The sequence below is a fragment of the Homo sapiens genome, chromosome 19 (genome assembly GCF_000001405.40).
Source record: "Homo sapiens chromosome 19, GRCh38.p14 Primary Assembly".
Lineage (NCBI taxonomy): Eukaryota > Metazoa > Chordata > Mammalia > Primates > Hominidae > Homo > Homo sapiens.
In genome coordinates, this window is record NC_000019.10 from 34,323,462 (window position 1) to 34,343,059 (window position 19,598).

Consider the following 19,598-nt stretch of genomic DNA (forward strand, 5'->3'; position numbering starts at 1 on the left):
TCTTTTTAATTTTCACTGTTTTCTTGCATGTTTTGGTCTGTCTTTCATGCTAAAGACTTCCTAGGGCTTTCTTTCTGTTCATCAGAAAGGCCCTGGAATGCTAATTGGAGGCTGTGTGTGGGGGTGGGACCTGTTAGCTTTATTGTAGATGGCTAAGCCCTGAGGTCCAGACCTGCACCTTGTTGCCTTGTCATGTGACTTTACAACCCTCGGTGTCCTCCTGGCTGCTGGGCCCCAGCCTCCTGACTGTTCAGCTCACACACGTGAACCTAACACCTGCCTTGGTCCCCTGCTCCATCTTCTAGACAACTCATGCTGAGGACCAGCCCACAGGAGGAGGCCTCCGAGTTCTCTCTTGACGTCTTCACCTTGACCTTTTTTGCCACCATTTTAGTCTGTCCAGGCCTTTCTGCCCTTTCTACATTCCCTTTGCTTTCAGCCAGTGATGCCACCCCCTACTACACTGAGCAAATAGAATCTCCCTGATGGCAGCCCTTCTTCCTCATGTGGCCAAGCCACCACCACTCCTGCCATCCCTCTTCACAACCATCTTTTCTTCCTTCCCCTGCCTCATGACAGCAGAGGAGGTGCCCTCTCCTCCTGTCCAGGCTTGCCCCGTGCTGGCCTTGCCCCCATCCTCGAGGGCCCAGCTTCTGTGGTGCGACCTAGTGTTTTCTCTCCCTCATCCTCAGCCTGTTCCCACCAGTACACAAAGATGCTTCCCACAGAAAAGTCCACTCTGCCCTGCCCTGTTTCTCTGCTCTTTTCTCAGCCAACTTCTTGGAGTAGTTGTCTACCTTTTTTTCACCTTTCATTCATTCTAAAAAATTACTATTTTATTTTTACTGCACCTTGTGGCTCCTTACTGCTCCTGGCACACCCCGTGGACAGTTTACTCAGAGTAGTCTAAAAAGTAATTATTATTGAAGTATTTCAGGCACATAGAACATTTCACACCCATCAGTGTATCTTCCTTTTAGCTGCCTGCCATATTTGCTCATGCCTGTTACATATTTTTAACAGAAAAATATCACCAGTGCACTTTTTTTTTTTTTTTTTTGAGACTGGGTCTTGCTCTGTTGCCCAGGCTGGAGTGCGGTAGTGATCACAGCTTACTGCAATCTTGACCTCCTCGGCTCAAGCAATCCTCCTGAGTAGCTCAGACTATAGGCATGCACCACCATGCTTGGCTAATTATTTATTTTATTTTACTTTTTATTTATTTTTTTAAAGACAGGGTCTTGCTATGTTCCCAGGCCGGTCCCAAGCTCCTAGGCTCCTGCACCCGGTCTGTAAATGCACTTGAATCCCTTTTGTACCTCTCCACTTTCTTATTCATCCCTTTGTCTCTAGAGATAACCTCTGTTGAATTTGAAGCGTGTGATCCTTGTGCATATTTTAATATTTTTTCCGTATATGAATGTATCTATACATAAGGTATTATTTTACACAGTCTGAAACTTTATATACATAATGTCATTCAGCTTGCTGAAATCTGGCTTCCACTCCTATACAAGAACATGCCTTCTCTTATCAAGGTCATTGGTGCCTTCTTCCATGTTTTCAAATCCAGGGAACCCTTTCAACAACTTTCAGCAGCTCACAGCAGTGTGGAGAATATTCCTCCTTGGAAATACTCTCAGCTTGTGACATCCAAGAACCAACCTTTCTTTCCTCTTGGGTCATCCTTTCTTCATCTAGTTTACTGGCTTCTCCTTCCTCAACACAATTTCTGAATGTGAGTTTCTCCAGGCTCAGTTCTAGCTGCCCTTCTCCCTAGGGGTTCTCCATCCAGTCTTGGGACTGAAAAACCACCTGTGTCCTTGGAGGGGGCTCAAATGTGTGTGATCAGTGAGCAGCCCACTTCCTGTGGGCTTCAGGCCCCTGAGCTCAGCTGCTACCGGGGGTCTCACAGGTGGCTCAGGCGTAGCCTCTCTCCACTCACCTGTTCCTCCCTAGACCCTCTCTATGCTAGTGAGTGGTGCCATCCCACACTGGCTTCACTTGAGAAACCTGAGATTTATCCTTCAGCATTTCCGTCATGTCTACACCCAGTCCAATCCTTAAGAAAACCCGGCAGTTCCCACCTCCAAAATCTTATCCCAGATCTGTCCCCTTCTTCCACGTCCTTCATCGCTACCCTTGTTCAGGGAATCGTTACTTCTCCCCTCCCTGTCTTGCTCGCCTTCATTTTAAAATTGGATGATGTCGCTTCTCATTTCCTTAGGGTAGCATGTGGACCCCTCAGCACGACCTGCCTAGACCTGCCTAGTCTGGCTCCTGCCTTGATGGCCAGCCTTATCAGTGGCCACCCTGCCCTCGCTCACTGGGCTCTAGTTCCTTGGATGTGTCTTTCTTTGTTACCTTGGATCCTCGGCCTGTTTCACGGACCCGTCTGTAGGTCTTGACACCCCCCACCCCACCCCACACACATGCAATTCCATTCACGACCTTCTCCTCTAATTCTCACCCTAAGTGCTGCTTTCTGGGTGTCTAGGACATTCCCTGGTATAGTCCTCTGTTTGTTTCCCGCAGTGTTTTTTCTCCATTTATAATTCTGTGTTTTCTTTGTTCACCTTTTTGGCCCTGAGGCTCTCAGCTCCAGGAAGGTAAGGAGCAGCTTTGTGCTTCAGCACGTACCTAACATACCACCTTGTGAGCTAAATATTTGACTGAAAGATTCTTAGAAAGAGTCAAACAGTTTTAAACTGTGAGACTCTTAGGCTTCAGGCAATGGTGTTTACATACAGTTTGTGAAACCAAAGCTTTGGAACTTTACGGCATTATAGCTGCTAGTCATTTTCCTGTAGTCTGCAAGTTTTGTAAATATTACAACTCCTACACTGGCCCAGCAGAACAAAAGCTAACTGCTAAAAAATGTTACTTGGTTCACAGAATTGCAACAAAAATAGAAATCTAAAAACAGTTCATCTGGAATCCCATCTAATAAATCAAATATATATTTTTCTGTATTCTCTTCTTGTCCTGATCCATGTATCTGTTTTCTGCATTTAATCGTAAAATGACAGAGATTAGTTTCTCCTTTTCTATCTTGCTTATCTACTCTTCATAAACATATGTAGTGACTGAATAATAAATATTTACTTTTCTGTGCAGATTTCAAAAGCTCTGTTTTTCTGTTAATATGCCAATGTATATTTTTCCTGTTATGTATTCATGTGGTCTTTTCCTTCACTGAATAGGAATGCCAACCATGTATGTTCTTCCTTTTTTTTTTTATTCTGGAAACTCCAAGTACCAATATTCTAGGTAACCTGTCTTTTTAAAGCAGGAAAGTTAAAAATGTCTGAGTATATACACACATATATATGTGTGTATATACATATATATATAACAAATAACAAGTAGGTAAGTCTTTTTTCCAGGGTTCCTAAAATAAAGGGAGATTTCGGCCGGGCTCGGTGGCTCAAGCCAGTAATCCCAGCACTTCGGGAGGCCGAGGTGGGTGGATCACCTGAGGTCAGGAGTTCGAGGCCAGCCTGACCAACATCATGAAACCTTGTCTCTACTAAAAATACAAAACTCAACCAGGCGCAGTGGTGGGTGCCTGTAATCCCAGCTACTCGGGAGGCTGAGGCAGGAGAATCGCTTGAACTCGGGAGGCGGAGGTTGCAATGAGCTGAGATAGCGCCACTACACTCCAGCCAGGGTGACAGAGTAAGACCTTGTCTCAAAATAAAATAAAATAAAATAAAATAAAATAATAAAATAAAAAATAAAGGGAAATTTCCTTTCTCTTCAGGATGGTTAATTAGGCTTTCAAAATTTGGGCTGCTCACTTTGCAATACAAACAATCTAGAACTTCTAGTTTATTTGCTTAGATGGTTTATTGCTGCATTTTACTTGAGGGGGTTTTTCTTGTTGTTGTTATTGTTGGTCTAATGTTGCTAGAACTGTACCACCCTCTTTTACCTACCAGTTACTATATATGTTACAGGCGACATCTAGACTAAGAGAAAGAGGCTGTGATGGTTGCCTGGCAGGAATTGAAGTTCAACAACTCTTTTGTTCTCAAAGTGCAGCAATTCCTGAGCACCAGCTAAAAGAACTGAACATAAAAATCGACAGTGCTTTGCAAGTAAGTTTTTCAGAACTGACATACTGATTTCCACGGGATAGAAACAAGGGAGGGAGTTAAAGTTGTGATGTTGAATCAATTAGAAAGGGTTATAGAGTAGTAATTGACCTTTTAATAGCTATAGAAATTTAAGATTTCTATTTCCATTGAACTTTGTCATCTTATAATTTGCTTTACGATCTTGATTGTTAAAAATAATTTATTTCCAGGCATATAAGATAGCTCTGGAAAGCTTAGGACACTGTGAATATGCAATGAAAGCCGGCTTCCACCTGAATCCAAAGGCGATTGAAGCAAGTTTGCAGGTACACTTTTCCTTCCTAAAGCTCTGGGGACCTATGGCGCTGCTCCTGCAGTCTAGTGTGAACCAAGTGTTTTGACAGATGAGCGATGGGTCACCTCTCCTCTTCCATCCATGCCTTTTCCAGGGCTGCTGCAGCGAGGCGGAAGCCCAGCAGACGGGGCGGAGGCAGACACCCCCGCAGCCCATGCAGTGTGAGCTCCCCACCGTCCCTGTGCAGATAGGATCGCACTTCCTGAAGGGCGTCTCCTTTAATGAGTCGGCCGCCGACAATCTGAAACTTAAGACGGTAGCTTTCCATGGGGTTCCAGCAAATGAGTGTGAACTTGAAAATAGAGTTCTTAAGAGAAATGTAAAGGCTTGCGAAGGATGTAGATTAAAAAAAAAATGGGGCCGGGCGTGGTGGCTCACGCCTGTAATCCTAGCACTTTGGGAGGCGGGCGGATCACCTGAGGTCAGGAGTTTGAGACCAGCCTGATCAACATGGTGAAACCCTGTTTCTGCTAAAAATAAAAAATCAGCCGGGTACGGTGGCACGCACCTGTAGTCCCAGCTGTTCGGGAAGCTGAGGCTGGAGAATTGCTTGAACCCATGAGGTGGAGATGGCAGTGAGCTGAGATTGCGCCATTGCACTCCAACCTGGGCGACAAGCAAAACTCTGTCTTAAAAAAAAAAAAAAAAAATTAAAAAGCAGACCTACGGAGACTTTAATCAGACATTTGCCAAGCAAGTTTTCGTTTTGTTTTGTTTTGTTTTTTTGAGACGGAGTTTTACTCTCTCGTCCAGGCTAGAGTACAGTGGTGTGATCTATCTCAGCTCACTGCAACCTTCACCTCCTGGGTTCAAGCAATCCTCCTGCCTCACCCTCCCAAGTAGCTGGGACTACAAGCATGTGCCACCAAGCCTGGCTAATTTTTGTATTTTTAGTAGAGACGGGGTTTTACTGTGTTGGCCAGGATGGTGTCGAACTCCTGACCTCAGCTGATCCACCCTACTTGGCCTCCAAAAGTCCTGGGATTACAGGCATGAGCCACCGACCTGGGCCTAGGCAGTTTTATTCATAATTTTATTCAGATGTTTAACAGAAAGGGTTTGAAAGTACACTATAAGATATTGTTTATGATTAATGTCTCTCAGTGGACTTGTATGAATTAAATAAGAAGAGAGATGTTGTTATAATGCTGCAGTGATAACGATTATTTGTGGAACATCATGTGTTCCAGTCATTGTGCCAGGTGCTCCACATCATTGTCTCACTTAATGCTCACCCATGAGGTAGGGGTGCTGCCCTTTGGCCCACCTGCCACATGGGAACTGATACCCAAGGTCACACAGCTAGAAAGTAGAAGAGCTGGAATTTGAGCTTATGTAATCTGTTTCCAGAGCCTGAACACCTGACTACTTGGTCATCCAAAATAAAATTGAGATTTTAATTAGTATTTACTTGTATCAGATGATTTTGTTTCCCTATTTGGAGGGATTCAGAATTTCAGAATTCCTCAACCAGTTCACATCAGTAGATTGCTAAATAATTTTGTGCTAGTATAGAAATACCTGTGTATATTATCGCATATGTATCCATATCTAGTCATTTACTCTATGGGGCTGAGAAAATCTCTGAGAGTGATTGATGATAATTACTAAGGAAATTAAAATGGCATAATTAGGGTGTATTTAAAATGCTCTTCTTGAGCCAGGCGTGGTGGCTCATGCCTGTAATCCCAGCACTTTGGGAGGCCGAGGTGGGCAGATCACCTGAGGTCAGGAGTTCAAGACCAGCCTGGGCAACATGGCAAAACTGCATCTGTACTAAAAATACAAAAATTAGCTGGGTATAGTGGCAGGCACCTATAATCCTAGCTACTCAGGAGGCTGAGGCAGAAGAATTGCTTGAACCCAGGAGGTGGAGGTTGCAGTGAGCTGAGATTGTGCCAGTGCACTCCAGCCTAGGCAAACAGAGCAAGGCTCCATCTCAAAAAAGAAAAAAAAAAAATGCTCTTTTCCCAGGAGTTCAAGACTAGCCTGGGCAACATAGCAAGACTCCACGTCTACAAAAAATTTAAAAATTAGCTGAGTGTGGTGGTGTGCACCTACCTGTGTGGTCCCAGCTACTGGGGAGGCTTGAAGCAGGAGAATCACATAAGCCTGAGGGGTCTAGGCTGCAGTGAGCCATGTTCGTGCCACCGGACTGCAGCTTGGACGATAGAAAAATACATAAATAAAATGCTCTTCTCTTGAGGATGATTGTATAAATGCATTTTTACAAATTTTAGAACCTTGCATGGCTTTGTCTTGAGGTGTGAACTCTCTTCTTATCAATCTATAGCATACAATGTTACAGCTGATGAAGGAGGCAGGCTGCTATAATGGAATCACATCCAGGGATGATTTTCCTGTGACTGAAGTGCTGAACCAGGTTTGCCCTTCCACATGGCGAGGTGCCTGCAAGACGGCGGTGCAGCTGCTGTTTGGCCAGGCTGGACTGGTGAGTGAGCGTGGGTGGTGGATGATAGGTAGAATACCAAGATGTTTCAAGCATGTGAGGATGTGGTGCAGACACATGTGTGAAAATATTGAATAATTTAAAAAGTTATTTGGTGCTGTGGAATTTAGACCAGGCAGGTAGACAAGGTAAAGGAAGAGCAGCATTTAAAAATCTCTTTAAAAAGAAAAACCAGATTGATAATATATATTTGCAGGGAACCTAGTTGCAAAATGATGCTATGGGCTTTGCTTATTTTAAGAAAAAAACCATTACAGTCTGGGCCCCATGGCTCATGCCTGTAGTCCCAGCACTTTGGCAGGAGGATTGCTTAAGTCTAGGAGTTTGAAATCAGCCTGGGCAACATAGTGAGACCCTGCCTCTTTTTTTTTTTTTTTTTTTTTTGTGTGTGTGTGTGTGACAGACTCTTGCTCTGTCGCCCAGGCTGCAGTGCAGTGGCGCAATCTCAACTCGCCGCCTTCTGGGCTCAAGTGATTCTCCTGCCTCAGCCTCCCAAGTAGCTGAGATGGTAGGCACCCGCCACCACATCTGGCTAATTTTTTTTTTTTTTTTGAGATGGAGTCTCGCTGTGTTGCACAGGCTGGAGTGCAGTGGCGTGATCTCAGCTCACCACAACCTCTGCCTCCCGGGTTCAAATGATTCTCCTCCCTCGGCTTCCCGAGTAGCTGGGACTACAGGCACGCACCACCATGCCTGGCTAATTTTTGTATTTTTTAGTAGAGATGGGGTTTCACTGTGTTGGCCAGGCTGGTCTCGAACTCCTGACCTCGTGATCTGCCTGCTTAGGCATCCCAAAGTGCTGGAATTACAGGCATGAGCCACCACACCCGGCCCTTAAAAAAAAAAGAAAAAAACATTACATTAGTAACAAGTTGACAGGGCCACTTGATCTAGCCCCTATTCTGGAGCTACATTGGATGTCTGTTGCTCAAACATCCCATGCTTCTTCCTGTCCCAGGCCTGTGCTCTTGATACCCCTTTTATCTGAAAATACTCTTCTCTCTGATTATCATGTAGGTCACTCCTTATCTTCTTGGTGTTAGCTCCAAAATCACCTCCTCCAAGAGGCCTCCCTTGACCACAGTGGTATAAGTAGTACCCCCATCCAGTCACTGTATACCGCTGCTGTTTATCTCTTTCTTAGCAATAAAGTAACATCAACTAAAAAGTAATGATTTGTTCATTTCATCTTTCAGAGAAAAAAAAAACTTTGCCCAGAGTTGGGTGGGTCAGGAGATCAACATCTGAAATCACCATTTAGCTTTTTGTTTGCATCACTGACCCATAGAATCTTACGTATTTGATCTCCCTTTCTAGTAAACGACTACTTTTCAAAAACATATGGTGGCAGGGCGTGGTGGCTCACACCTGTAATCCCAACACTTTGGGAGGCCGAGGCAGGCAGATCACCTGAGGTCAGGAGTTCAAGACCAGCCTGGCCAATATGGCGAAACCTCGTCTCTAAAAATACAAAAATTATCCAGGCGTGGTGGCGGGCACCTGTAATCCCAGCTACTCGAGAGGCTTAAGCACAAGAATCACTTGAACCCAGGAGTCAGAGGTTGCAGTGAGCCGAGATTGTGCCACTGCACTCCAGCCTGGGTCATAGAGTAAGATCCAGTCTTTAAAAAAAAAAAAAAAGGATATGGCATTTCAGTCAGAGGTTGGAAGGACCTAATTAGAGATTAAGAAAATTAAAGAACTTGTTTTTTAGTCTGGTTCCTACTTTATTCACAAAAAGAGCTATTGAGGGTATACTGTCGTTTTGTTTCAAGCGGGTTAGGGCTCAGGTGGCCCAGCTCACAGTGGGGCTGTCTTGTGGAGGCTCAGATGAGGGCTTGTTCACAGTAATGAGTCACATTTCCTTTGGGATCTTTTCCTCAGTATAGGGACCTCCAAAAGAAGTAGTAAACCAGAGATGCCTTGCTGAAGCGTGGAAGAGCCCATTGGCTTTAGTATATCGATCCATATTCCCAGAGACCATTTAGCTGAAACTGCAAGGACCATGCCAATGAGTTCCCCTGAAAGGAGTATGCAAAATAAGGCCAAAAGGCACAAAGGCTGTTTTGAGAAAACACTGTAGATTAAAAAAAAAAAAAAGTTCCATGTTATTCAGAGAGCAGAAACTTCTTCCTAGTTCCTTGCGTCTTGATTGTAGGACACATTTCTGTGTGACTTTAGGTTATGGTTCTGGGGATGGGAGGAGAGAGGAAACACCTGTGTGGTCCAACAATGGCTATTCCTTTGACAGGAAGTTTTTTCCAAAGGTCATTGCAGATCAGCTATGGGAACTCTGTTTAAACCAGTGAAAGCTGGCTCCATTAGAAGCTGAATTTGGAGTATGATACACAACTCTGTACAGTTTTACCCCTTCTGAAATATTACAGATTTGGTTTTAAAATATTTTATGATTTTTTAAAACATTCTTTTAGTTATTTGAAAATATATTCATCACTTTGTCAAACTCTAGATTACATAGGATACTCTTATCACCTATCTAGTATTAAAGACTCTTCCTGGAAATAAGAGGAAATCATTCAAAGAAGGGTTAGTTCTTCCTCTGTCCTGAAGTAATTCAGTTTTTATTGATGGTTGAGGATAAGATAATCTTTAAAAAAGTTTCATCCACTTCTGGGCGTGTCATGACAAATGGGCTTATCTGAAGCATTGGTTTGACTTTTTTGTTTGTTTGTTTGTTTGAGATGGAGTCTTGGTCTGTTGCTCAGGCTGGAGTGCAGTGGCGCAATCTCGGCTCACTGCAACCTCTGCCTCCTGGGTTCAAGCTATTCTCCTGCCTCAGCCTCCTGAGTAGCTTGGACTGCAGGATCACCACACCCAGCTACTTTTTGTATTTTTAGTGGAGACGGGGTTTCACCATGTTGGCCAGGGTGGTCTCAAACTCCTGACCTCAAGTGATCACTTGCCTAAATCTCCCAAAGTGCTGGGATTACAGGCGTGAGCCACTGCACCCAGTCTGGTTTGACTTTCAGTGACACTTTTACTTCTTTTAAGTGCATAAAGTAAAAAATACTAAGATAAAGGACGCAAATTAATTCCTAATTAACATATTTATAGTTTGGAAAAAGTGCTAGAGGTGCTTGCCAGTTCAATTTAATTCCATGCCCAGAATGTGGTTTCTGTTTATTGAAATGTTCTTAGTTTTGGTCATCTGTTACTACTTGCTGTTGTCTTCACGGGGCCCTGACTGGCCTTGGCATAACTAGGCTGCTAGGGGAATAGTTCTTAGAGAGTCATTTTATGTATTGGATTTTATTCTGATTTGTTTTCTCTCTGAAAGCTGGTTGTTATTTGTTTTTTTTTTTTTTTTTCGATCTTAGGTGGTGGTTGACACAGCACAGATTGAGAATAAAGAAGCCTATGCCCCCCAGATCAGTTTAGAAGGCTCTAGAATCGTGGTTCAAGTCCCATCCACATGGTAACGTGCCTCTTACTTTCACCGGAGCCTAAGCTCTGACTGACGTTTGCACATCTTTGAAATGATGGCCTTGTTTTGAACAATGCCCATGCTAGCTGACGCAACAAGTCTTGCTGCATGTGCAGGTTTATGGGCAGCAGTGGTATGTTAGTGGCATGTGTCATGATTATTGGTCTGTGATGAGGAAGCCAAGAGGTCTGAAAAATGGTCTCATTGACCATAATGTAACTAAAATGTTATATACTCTTGGATCATAATGAGCAGTATTATCTTTGTTACTGAGTCTACAGCATTTAAACATAGTATATCATTTTCTCTAAGTCACCCAGTGTTCACTAAAGCCCAGTAGAGAACATAGAATTCCTTCTCCTCTGTTCCAACTACAATCCTGATGATCTTGAGCTCATGTTGTGACACACCCAGTGTCTTTACAAATCTTGGGACAGTCATTTTTAGATATTATATTTGTAACACTTATAATAGATAAAAGATTATTCTTAATTTATTTTTTTTTAAAAAAAGCTCCTACAAATCAGAAGAAAATGGGCAAGGGACATGAACAGCTAAGTCAGAAAAGAAGACATATGATCAACAAATAGATTAAGAAAATGTAATGGCCAAGTGCGGTGACTCACACCTGTAATCCTAGCACTTTGGGAGGCCAAGGCGGGCAGATCGCCTGAGGTCAGAAGTTTGAGACCAGCCTGCCCAATGTGGTGAAACCCCATCTCTACTAAAAATACAAAAACTATCCAGGCATGGTGGTGGGTGCCTGTAATTCCAGCTAATCAGGAAGCTGAGGCACAAGAATTGCTTGAACCCAGGAGGCGGAGGTTGCAGAGAGCTGAGATTGCACTATTGCACTCCAGCCTGGGCAATAGAGCAAAACTATCTCAAAAAAAAAAAAAAAGAAAAAAGAAAATGTATAACTTCACCTAAAAATCAGAGACAAAGTAAAGAAACCATATGGGGCCAGGTGGGGTGGCTCACACCTGTAATTCCAGCACTTTGGAAGGCCGAGGCGGCCAGATCTCCTGAGGTCAGGAGTTCCAGACCAGCCTGGCCAACATGGTGAAACCCTGTCTCTACTAAAAGTACAAAAATTAGCCGGGCGTGGTGGCATGCACCTATAATCCCAGCTTAAGGCAGGAGAACCGCTTGAGCCTGGGAGACAGAGGTTGCAGTGAGCCGAGATCGTGCCACTGCACTCCAGCCTGGGTGACAGAGCGAGACTCCGTCTCCAAGAAAAAAAAAAAAACCGTTATGATGTCATTTTGCCCAGAATATTGTTAAATTGTTTTAGAATAACAATACTAAATATAGTGACAATACTAGTTTGAGCCAGACTGTGAAACAGGCAAAGAGGTTGTTGAGTAGAGACTAAATACAACCTTTCTGGAGGGCAATTTAGTATATTAGAAGCCTAAAATAAGGGATATGACCTCAACAATTCCACAGTTTCACCTCTAGAAATTTATCTTTGTGATATGTATTCACATTCAGCTATAAGGATGAGTATCATAGCTTTATTAATAAACAGGAAAAACTAAGCATATATTGGAAGGTATTTGCTATTAAAATGGTAATCTGCATGAATATTTAGCTATAAGAGAAAATATTTAAATCATTTAAGTAGGCAGAGATACTAAGGAACAAAGAGGTGCTGTTGGTGCCTATGTGGACTAAAATGGTAGTTGGGTAAGGCATACAAGTTGTATTTAAACCATTTGTTCTTTTTTTTCGAGACAGAATCTCGGTCTGTCGCCCAGGCTGGAGTGCAGTGGCGCAATCTCGGCTCACTGCAGCCTCTTCCGCCTGGGTTCCAGTGATTCTCCTGCCTCAGCTTCCTGGGTAGCTGGGATTACAGGCGCATGCCACTACGCCCAGCTAATTTTTGTACTTTTAGTAGAGACAGGGTTTTGCCATGTTGGCCAGGCTGGTCTTGAACTCCTGACCTCAGGTGATCCACCTGCTTCGGCCTCCCAAAGTGCTAGGTTTACAGGCGTGAGTCACCGCGCCCGGCTCATTTGTTCTTGAAATGTAAGAGTATAATAGTAGATTCTGTCAAAAGTGTTTAGAGTCTATGAATATATTTAAGTAAATGTTGGCAGTTCACTTTGTGTCCTAAAACCTCCCTTCTATAAGTACTCTGCCACCAAAAAGTTCTTTTATTTTTTTAAATTATTATTATTATTTTTTTTTTGGTAGAGACAAGATCTCATGCTGTCCCCCAGACTGCAGTGCAGTGGTGTGGTCATGGCTTACTGTAGCCTTGAACTCCTGGGCTCAAGCAATCATCCCACCCTGGCCTCCCAAGTAGGCGGGACTACAGGCATGTGCCATCATGCCTGGCTAATTTTTAAGTTTTTTGTAGAGATGGAGTCTCACTATATTAGCCAGGATGGTCTGGGACTCCTGGGCTCAAGCGATCCCCCTGCCTTGGCCTCCCAAAGTGCTGGGATTGCAGGCGTGAGCTACTGTACCTGGCCCAAAATTTTAAGTTAATTGTAGGGTGGCATACTGTGTCCTGAAATTAATGGTAATTTATACACATATTTTCATTTCTATCAAACAGTAAACCAGAGGCTCACTTTCTGTAAGATTTTTGTGTTACTAAATTCTTTTTTTTTCTTTTGTAGTCAGTGTTCTGCTGAAATGTGTTCCTGAATTTTTTTTTTTTTTTTTGAGATAGTTTCGTTCTTGTTGCCCACACTGGAGTGCAATGGTGTTGTCTCGGCTCACTGCAACCTCCACCTCCTGGGTTCAAATGATTTTCCTGCCTCAGCTTCCTGAGTAGCTGGGATTACAGGCACCTGCCTGCATGCCCAGCTAATAACTTTTGTGTTTTTAGTAGAGATGGGTTTCACTATGTTGGCCAGGCTGGTCTCAAACTCCTGACCTCGGGTAATCCACCCATCTTGGCCTCCCAAAGTGCTGGGATTACAGGCGTGAGCCACTGCACCCAACCCTGAATTCTTAAATTTTTCCAATTCAGGCTGTCATTGGAAAATGTTAAAACTTAATCAGAATTCTCATTTTGAAGAGTTTGAACTTTTGGATAGTTGGGTGAATATAAACAGTCAGTGCAAAAATGGCTAACACTTGAGTTTGTTTTGAAAACTCTCCCTGTGGGGTTGATTTCATTTGTAACTCATTGCACCCCCGCAAAAAACACCTTGTAGACTGTGATTTCTTGTAGAGGTGCCCTCTGCTGGGTGCTTTTGGTAATTTTGCAAAATTTTAGTTCTGTTTTTTTTTTTTTTTTTCAAATTACAAAATACTGTATGTGCTTGTTGGGAAGAACACAAACAGAAATGATTGCTTTACTCCACCTGGAGAAAAAGGATATTGCTATCCATCCATGCTTTGTTTCACCAAATATTTACTGAACACTTACTGTGTACCAGACACTGTTCTGGGCTCTGGGAATTTAATTATGAGCAAGACACACAGGGTCCCTGCCCCTCATAAACCAACTTGAGAATAGAGAAGGGGGAGACAGCTGTTAAGTATAAGAGATGAGTTCAGACACAGGCAGGCGTATGATGGAAATGAGAGGAGAGTGCCATTATATGATAGAGAATAAGTAGGATAGAGATTCGGGGGAGACTTTTAGACGAGTCAGTCTGGAAGAGGGTCTGAGGATGTGACATTGGATTTGAGAGGAGCCTGTCATGCAGAGAGCCGATGGGGAACACACTTCAGGCAGAAAGAATGCCAGTGCAGAGGCCTCAGGAGTGACCCAGCATGGAAGGAGATGTGCTAGGTGGTGATGAGGATGGGAAGTTGTAGACGTCAAGACTTGCAGGGCCCTTGAAGGAATTGGGTTTTTATCTAAGAACAGGTAGAGGGTTTTAGGCAAGTCTTGGTGATTTGTCAACAGAATGGGTTTAGCCACTTAAGGGCATTTTATTGATCAGCTCAAGGCTGATGAATAAAATAAAAATGCCAGTTTGTTGATTGTTGATTTTTCAGAAAGATTAATTATCATCACCAGGAGCTGTAGTACTCTTTTCTACATGGCCAACAAATGCTCTCCTAGTGGGCAAACATGTGACAAGCCAAGTCACAACCAGACTTGGCTTGGGAACAAGAGCAAATGTGTCCTGATTATCAGTGATTCCAGATGGAGAGAATTGGGTGCACTGAACCTTGGGCAGGCTCAGCTGCCAAGATTCTCTCTGAGGAGTCCAAGGTCTAGCTGGGCACTAGCAGAGCTTGCGTTGTTGTTCACCCTTTCCAGGCTTCTGAGCCTGGCCGGCTCTCATTTCATTCTCTGATATATTTCTTCCCAAGTCAAAGTCATGTTAGGGAGTACTGCTACCTCCTTGAGTGACTTTGTAAGTGTTGAGTTCACCATTTAGCTTCCAGAGTGCCCAGGATCTGGCAGACATCATCTTCCTAGTAGACCTATGCTGCTCAGACTGTTTTCCCTCTCAGAAAAGGGCTCTTGGCCAGACCAAGTGGCTCACACCCGTAATCCTAGCACTTTGGGAGGCTGAGGCAGGAGGATCACCTGAGCTCAGGAGTTTAGGACCAGCCTGGGCAACATAGCGAGACCCCATCTCTACAAAAAAATTAAAACATTAGCCAGGTGCGGTGGCACACGCCTGTAGTTCCAGCTACTTAGGAGGCTGACATGGGAAGATCGCTTGAGCCCAGGAGGTCGAGGATAACAGTGAGCTTTGATCACACCACTGCACTCCAGCCTTGAGGATAGAGTAGGACTCTGTCTCGAAAAAAGGTTGGGGGGCTCTTGGTGTAGGTACCCTGAATGGACGGTGGAGACCCAAATGATGAGAAGCAGTTGGCCATACCAAAATCTCAGGAAAGAGAAATTCGGGCAAAGGCAGCAGCAAGAGCAAAGGTCCTGAGGTGTGGACAAACCCATCCAGGGAGGAAGAGAAGGCCTCACAGCTGGGACAAGGTTGAGGGGCTGGGCACAGAGGGCTTTGAGGGCTGTGGTGAGGGTTTAGATTTTATTTCAATCACGATGATATCCCATTGAAGAGTTTTAAGCAGGGGAGTGATGTGCTCTGATTGGCACTACAGGAAGCTCACTCTGGCCCCTATATGAAGGATGGGCTTTGGAGGTACAGGAGTAGAGAAAAAGAGGCCAGGTGAGAGCTTGGTCCTGAGACCCAGGAGTGGTGGTTTCCTGAAGCAGGGGGTTCATAAACAAGGTGGCGAGAAGTGCTTAGATTCTGGATGTGTTTTATAAGAAGAGCTGTCAGGATTCACTGATGGATTGCATGCAAGATGTGAGGGAACTAGAGAGGGTGTGTAAGTTTTGGGGTAGACAGTTGTGTTGTTCACTTATTGGAGAAGTCGGCAGGAATCAGAGTGTCTGAGCTAGCACAGACCGCACAGGTTAAGGGCTCAGCCCCACAAGGCTACTCCCCACTTCAGATGCCATCCACAAGTCCCAGGTTGTCACCCGACTTCTAACCAATCGGCTATAAGTTGGGGGTTCCCAAAACCTCCAGGTTTGATATTTTGCTATAATGGCTCACAGAACTCAGTAAAACATTTAATTATATTTAAGGTTTATTATAAAGGATATTATAGCAGATACAGATTAACAGCCAGGTGAAGAGGTGCATAGCGTGAAGTGTTTGGGATGGGGCTCCAAGCCTCCATGCCCTTGCCAGCTATGCCCTGTGCCCAGCACCTTAGTGTGTTCACCAGCGTGGAAGCTCTCAGAACCCGATGGTCTGATGATTTTTATGGAGGCTTCATCATATAAGCAAGTCATCTTATTAGAACAAAAGACACTATCACCTAGGAAATCTCAAGGGTTTTAGGAGCTCTGTATCAGGAACTGGAGGCAGAGACCAAATATATATTCTGATATCATGAGACCTCAGACCTTTTTGCTTCCTACTCCTCTTGTGGGGCAGTGAGTTCCAGGATCAGCCCTGTTGTTCTCTCCATGTTCTTACAGTTACTGAATTTTTGCTGGGCGCCAGAGGTACATAAAAGTTGTAGCCTTTTCTATGAGACCTGCTTGAGACACCTTTGCAGAGAAATGCAGCCAAGACTAATGCAGCCTAATCTATGCCTAGGTGCCTGAAAGAAGACCCTGCTACCATGTCCCTGCTGCAGAGAAGCCTTGATCCTGAGAAGACCCTGGGTCTAGTGGACGTGCTCTACACAGCTGTGCTGGACCTAAACCGCTGGAGGGCTGGAAGGTTGGTGTCTGTGGTTTGCATTAGATGCATACCGAGGGACAGTGTGACTATGCACAGTTTCATGTGTGCTTGTGTCATTGATAGTATACGGTATTGTAAAGAAGGCAGTAAGGACTTTTTAGTAACTTTTATTTTCAGAATAATTTAAAACCTGCAGCAAAGTGGCAAGAATAATACAAAGAACTGCTCCATGCCCTGTACCAGATTCCCCTATTTGCTAACTTTTTTGCCTTCCTTTATTTTGTCATTTGAGAGGAAGTCCATCAAGAGGACTTTTAACTCAACTCATATTCTCCTTATGAATTAAGAACAGAGAAATGTTTAGAAAATTTGCTTATGTCTTTTAGAATTTTTTTTCTTTTTCAATCAGTTCTCTCAGGTTGAACTTGAGAAATGTGTATACATCTGGTAGTGGCCTTAAACATCTAGCCATGGCCCCTCTCCCTTTTTCTTTTCTTTTCTTTTCTTTTCTTTTCTTTTCTGTCTTGGTCTTTGTCTTTGGTCTTGTCATCTTGTCTTTTTAGGATCTGGCTCTGTTGCCCAGCCAGGCTGGAGTGTAGTGGTACAATCTCAGCTCACTGCAATATTGCTCTCCATCCATGCTATCCATCCCATCCATCCCCCAGCTCCTGGGCTCAAGTCATCCTCCTACCTCAGCCTTCCGAGTAGCTGGGATTACAGGTGTACGCCCAGCTAATTTTTGTATTTTTCATGAAGATGGGGTTTCGCTGTGTTGGCCAGGCTGGTATCAAACTCCTGACCTCAAGTGCCTGCCTCGGCCTCCCAAAGTGCTGGGATTACAGGCGTGAGCCACCATGCCCAACCTTTTCTCCCTTTCTTAACTCATGAGTACACAAAGGCCAGAATAGTGAAGTGACTTTTCCAGGGTCACACAGCCTTCACCTGCCTCAGCTCCTGCCCCATGCCCTTTCGCTCTTTAGGGCTCCATTTTAGTATGGGAAAAATGTGCTCAGGAAACTTTGAAAGTCACAGCCATCTGTTGGGACAACGTTGGCACATAGTATCCCTGCATCCCCCCACCACCTCCCTCTGCTTTGTGGAGTTGTCCATTGTCCCTCTGCTGCATTTGCGTGGCTGTAGCCCCTGTCCTCCAGGCACAAATCTAGCTTCTGCAAGTTGCATCCCCACATCTAGCCATGCTTTCCCCTCCTGTGCCACCATTAGAGGATTTCACTGAATCACACTCCTCAGGCCAGAATCCTAGCAGAACTTCCAGTCCTGCGTTAGACACTGTAGATTTCATACTCTCCAAACCCCTGGGTGTTCATTTATATATAAAATAAGTGAACCCGATACCAACCTGAGAGGTTTTTCTTGCTCTCAACGCCATTCTTAAATACAAAGAGGTCCATTTTATTATTTTATATATTTGTCTTTTTTTTTTTTAAACAAATTTCTGTTTAAATAGGGAGCAAGCTTTACCCTGCATACAGATCCAGCTGCAAAGGGAGATCTGTGATTTTGGCAACCAGGCTGACCTGCCTTCTGGAAATGGAAACAAATCTTCAGGTGGCCTGCAGAAGACATTCTCCAAACTGACATCCCGGTTCACCAAGAAAGCTTCATGTACCAGCTCCAGCAGCAGCACAAATTATTCCATCCAAAATACCCCTTCCAAAAACATCTTCATAGCTGGATGTTCCGAAGAGAAGGCCAAAATGCCTGGCAATATTGATACAAGGTTACAAAGCATTTTGAACATTGGTAATTTCCCCAGGACTACAGACCCTTCACAGTCAGCTCAGAATTCCAGTAATACAGTGGCCAATGGCTTTCTCATGGAGAGGCGTGAGAACTTCCTGCATGGAGATGACGGCAAGGATGAGAAGGGTATGAACTTACCAACTGATCAGGAAATGCAAGAGGTGATAGATTTTCTCTCGGGCTTTAACATGGGCCAGTCACATCAGGGCTCTCCGTTGGTGACAAGGCATAATTCTGCTGCCACAGCCATGGTGACTGAGCAGAAGGCAGGAGCCATGCAACCACAGCAGCCGTCACTGCCTGTGCCCCCTCCACCACGGGCACCCCAGGCTGGGGCACACACACCTCTGACACCCCAGCCGGGACTGGCACCTCAGCAGCAGTCCCCAAAGCAGCAACAACCTCAAGTCCAATACTACCAACACCTACTCCAGCCCATTGGACCGCAGCAGCCCCCGCCCCAGCCTCGGGCACCTGGGAAATGGGTACATGGCTCATCCCAGCAGCCAGCGCAGGCTGTTGGAGCAGGTCTGTCTCCTCTTGGTCAGTGGCCTGGCATATCTGATCTCAGTTCTGACTTGTACAGCTTGGGTCTGGTGAGCAGCTATATGGATAATGTGATGTCAGAGGTTCTGGGACAGAAGCCGCAGGGACCTAGAAATAACACCTGGCCCAACCGTGACCAAAGTGATGGAGTCTTTGGAATGCTGGGAGAGATTCTGCCTTTTGATCCTGCAGGTATGTGAGGCCTCCCATCCCTCGCCCAGTGTCAACAGCAAATGCAACTGCCGAGGTCTTCCCAGGGCCTGTCTGCTGCAGCCTTACTTGTGAAGGTGAAATCATTTAATCCCCCTTTACGACCCTTTCTCACTGTGGAGGCAAGTATGGGGCAGATCTACCAAGATGGGAAACAGTGGTGAGAAAGGGGCTGAGAACATGAGTGGACTATTTTTCTTACTTTATAGAGAACAGAACTGAGGCTAAGAGAGGTTACTTGAACAGCTCAAAGTCCCATAGTTCAAGTAGGCTCCAGTCTAGGCCTGCCTACTCCCGGCAGCCAAGGTCAGCAGCCCTTTGTGGGGTGCTTTTTTCCTGATTATATAACCTGTTCTTTGCGATGCTTTTTTTTTTTGCCTAAACTCTAGGACCTATGACAGGTGACAGACACCCTCCTGCCTTCATAGAATACAGCTTCTCCTGGGCTAGACAATGAAAATACCACCAGAGTCATCTTAAAAAATTAGAGAAGGAATTTACAAACAAGAACAAACTAGGAGGAGGAATTAAGGGGGAAAAGCCAAAAATAAGTAAATTAGAAAGAAAAATAGAGTAGAAATTGCAA

The 19,598-nt window shown here is 44.5% G+C and overlaps 1 protein-coding gene across 1 annotated transcript in view, besides 1 other annotated feature; it reads left to right on the forward strand.

The window, feature by feature from the left end:
* The window catches only part of GARRE1 (granule associated Rac and RHOG effector 1), a 101,013-nt gene that overhangs the window by 68,908 nt on the left and 12,507 nt on the right, over positions 1-19,598 (forward strand). Inside the window, exons 4-10 of the mRNA NM_014686.5 lie at positions 3,960-4,100; positions 4,310-4,405; positions 4,529-4,690; positions 6,728-6,886; positions 10,243-10,340; positions 16,406-16,531; positions 17,961-18,994. Coding sequence (NP_055501.2) covers positions 3,960-4,100; positions 4,310-4,405; positions 4,529-4,690; positions 6,728-6,886; positions 10,243-10,340; positions 16,406-16,531; positions 17,961-18,994 — 1,816 coding nt within the window. The remainder of the gene's footprint in view (positions 1-3,959; positions 4,101-4,309; positions 4,406-4,528; positions 4,691-6,727; positions 6,887-10,242; positions 10,341-16,405; positions 16,532-17,960; positions 18,995-19,598) is intronic.
* Positions 18,685-19,185: an enhancer, noted in NCBI's record as "H3K4me1 hESC enhancer chr19:34833051-34833551 (GRCh37/hg19 assembly coordinates)". NCBI's record gives its function as "activates a minimal SCP1, AML or CMV promoter by ChIP-STARR-seq in primed H9 embryonic stem cells {active_cell/tissue: H9 hESC(primed)}" and the evidence as "EXISTENCE:reporter gene assay evidence [ECO:0000049][PMID:30033119]".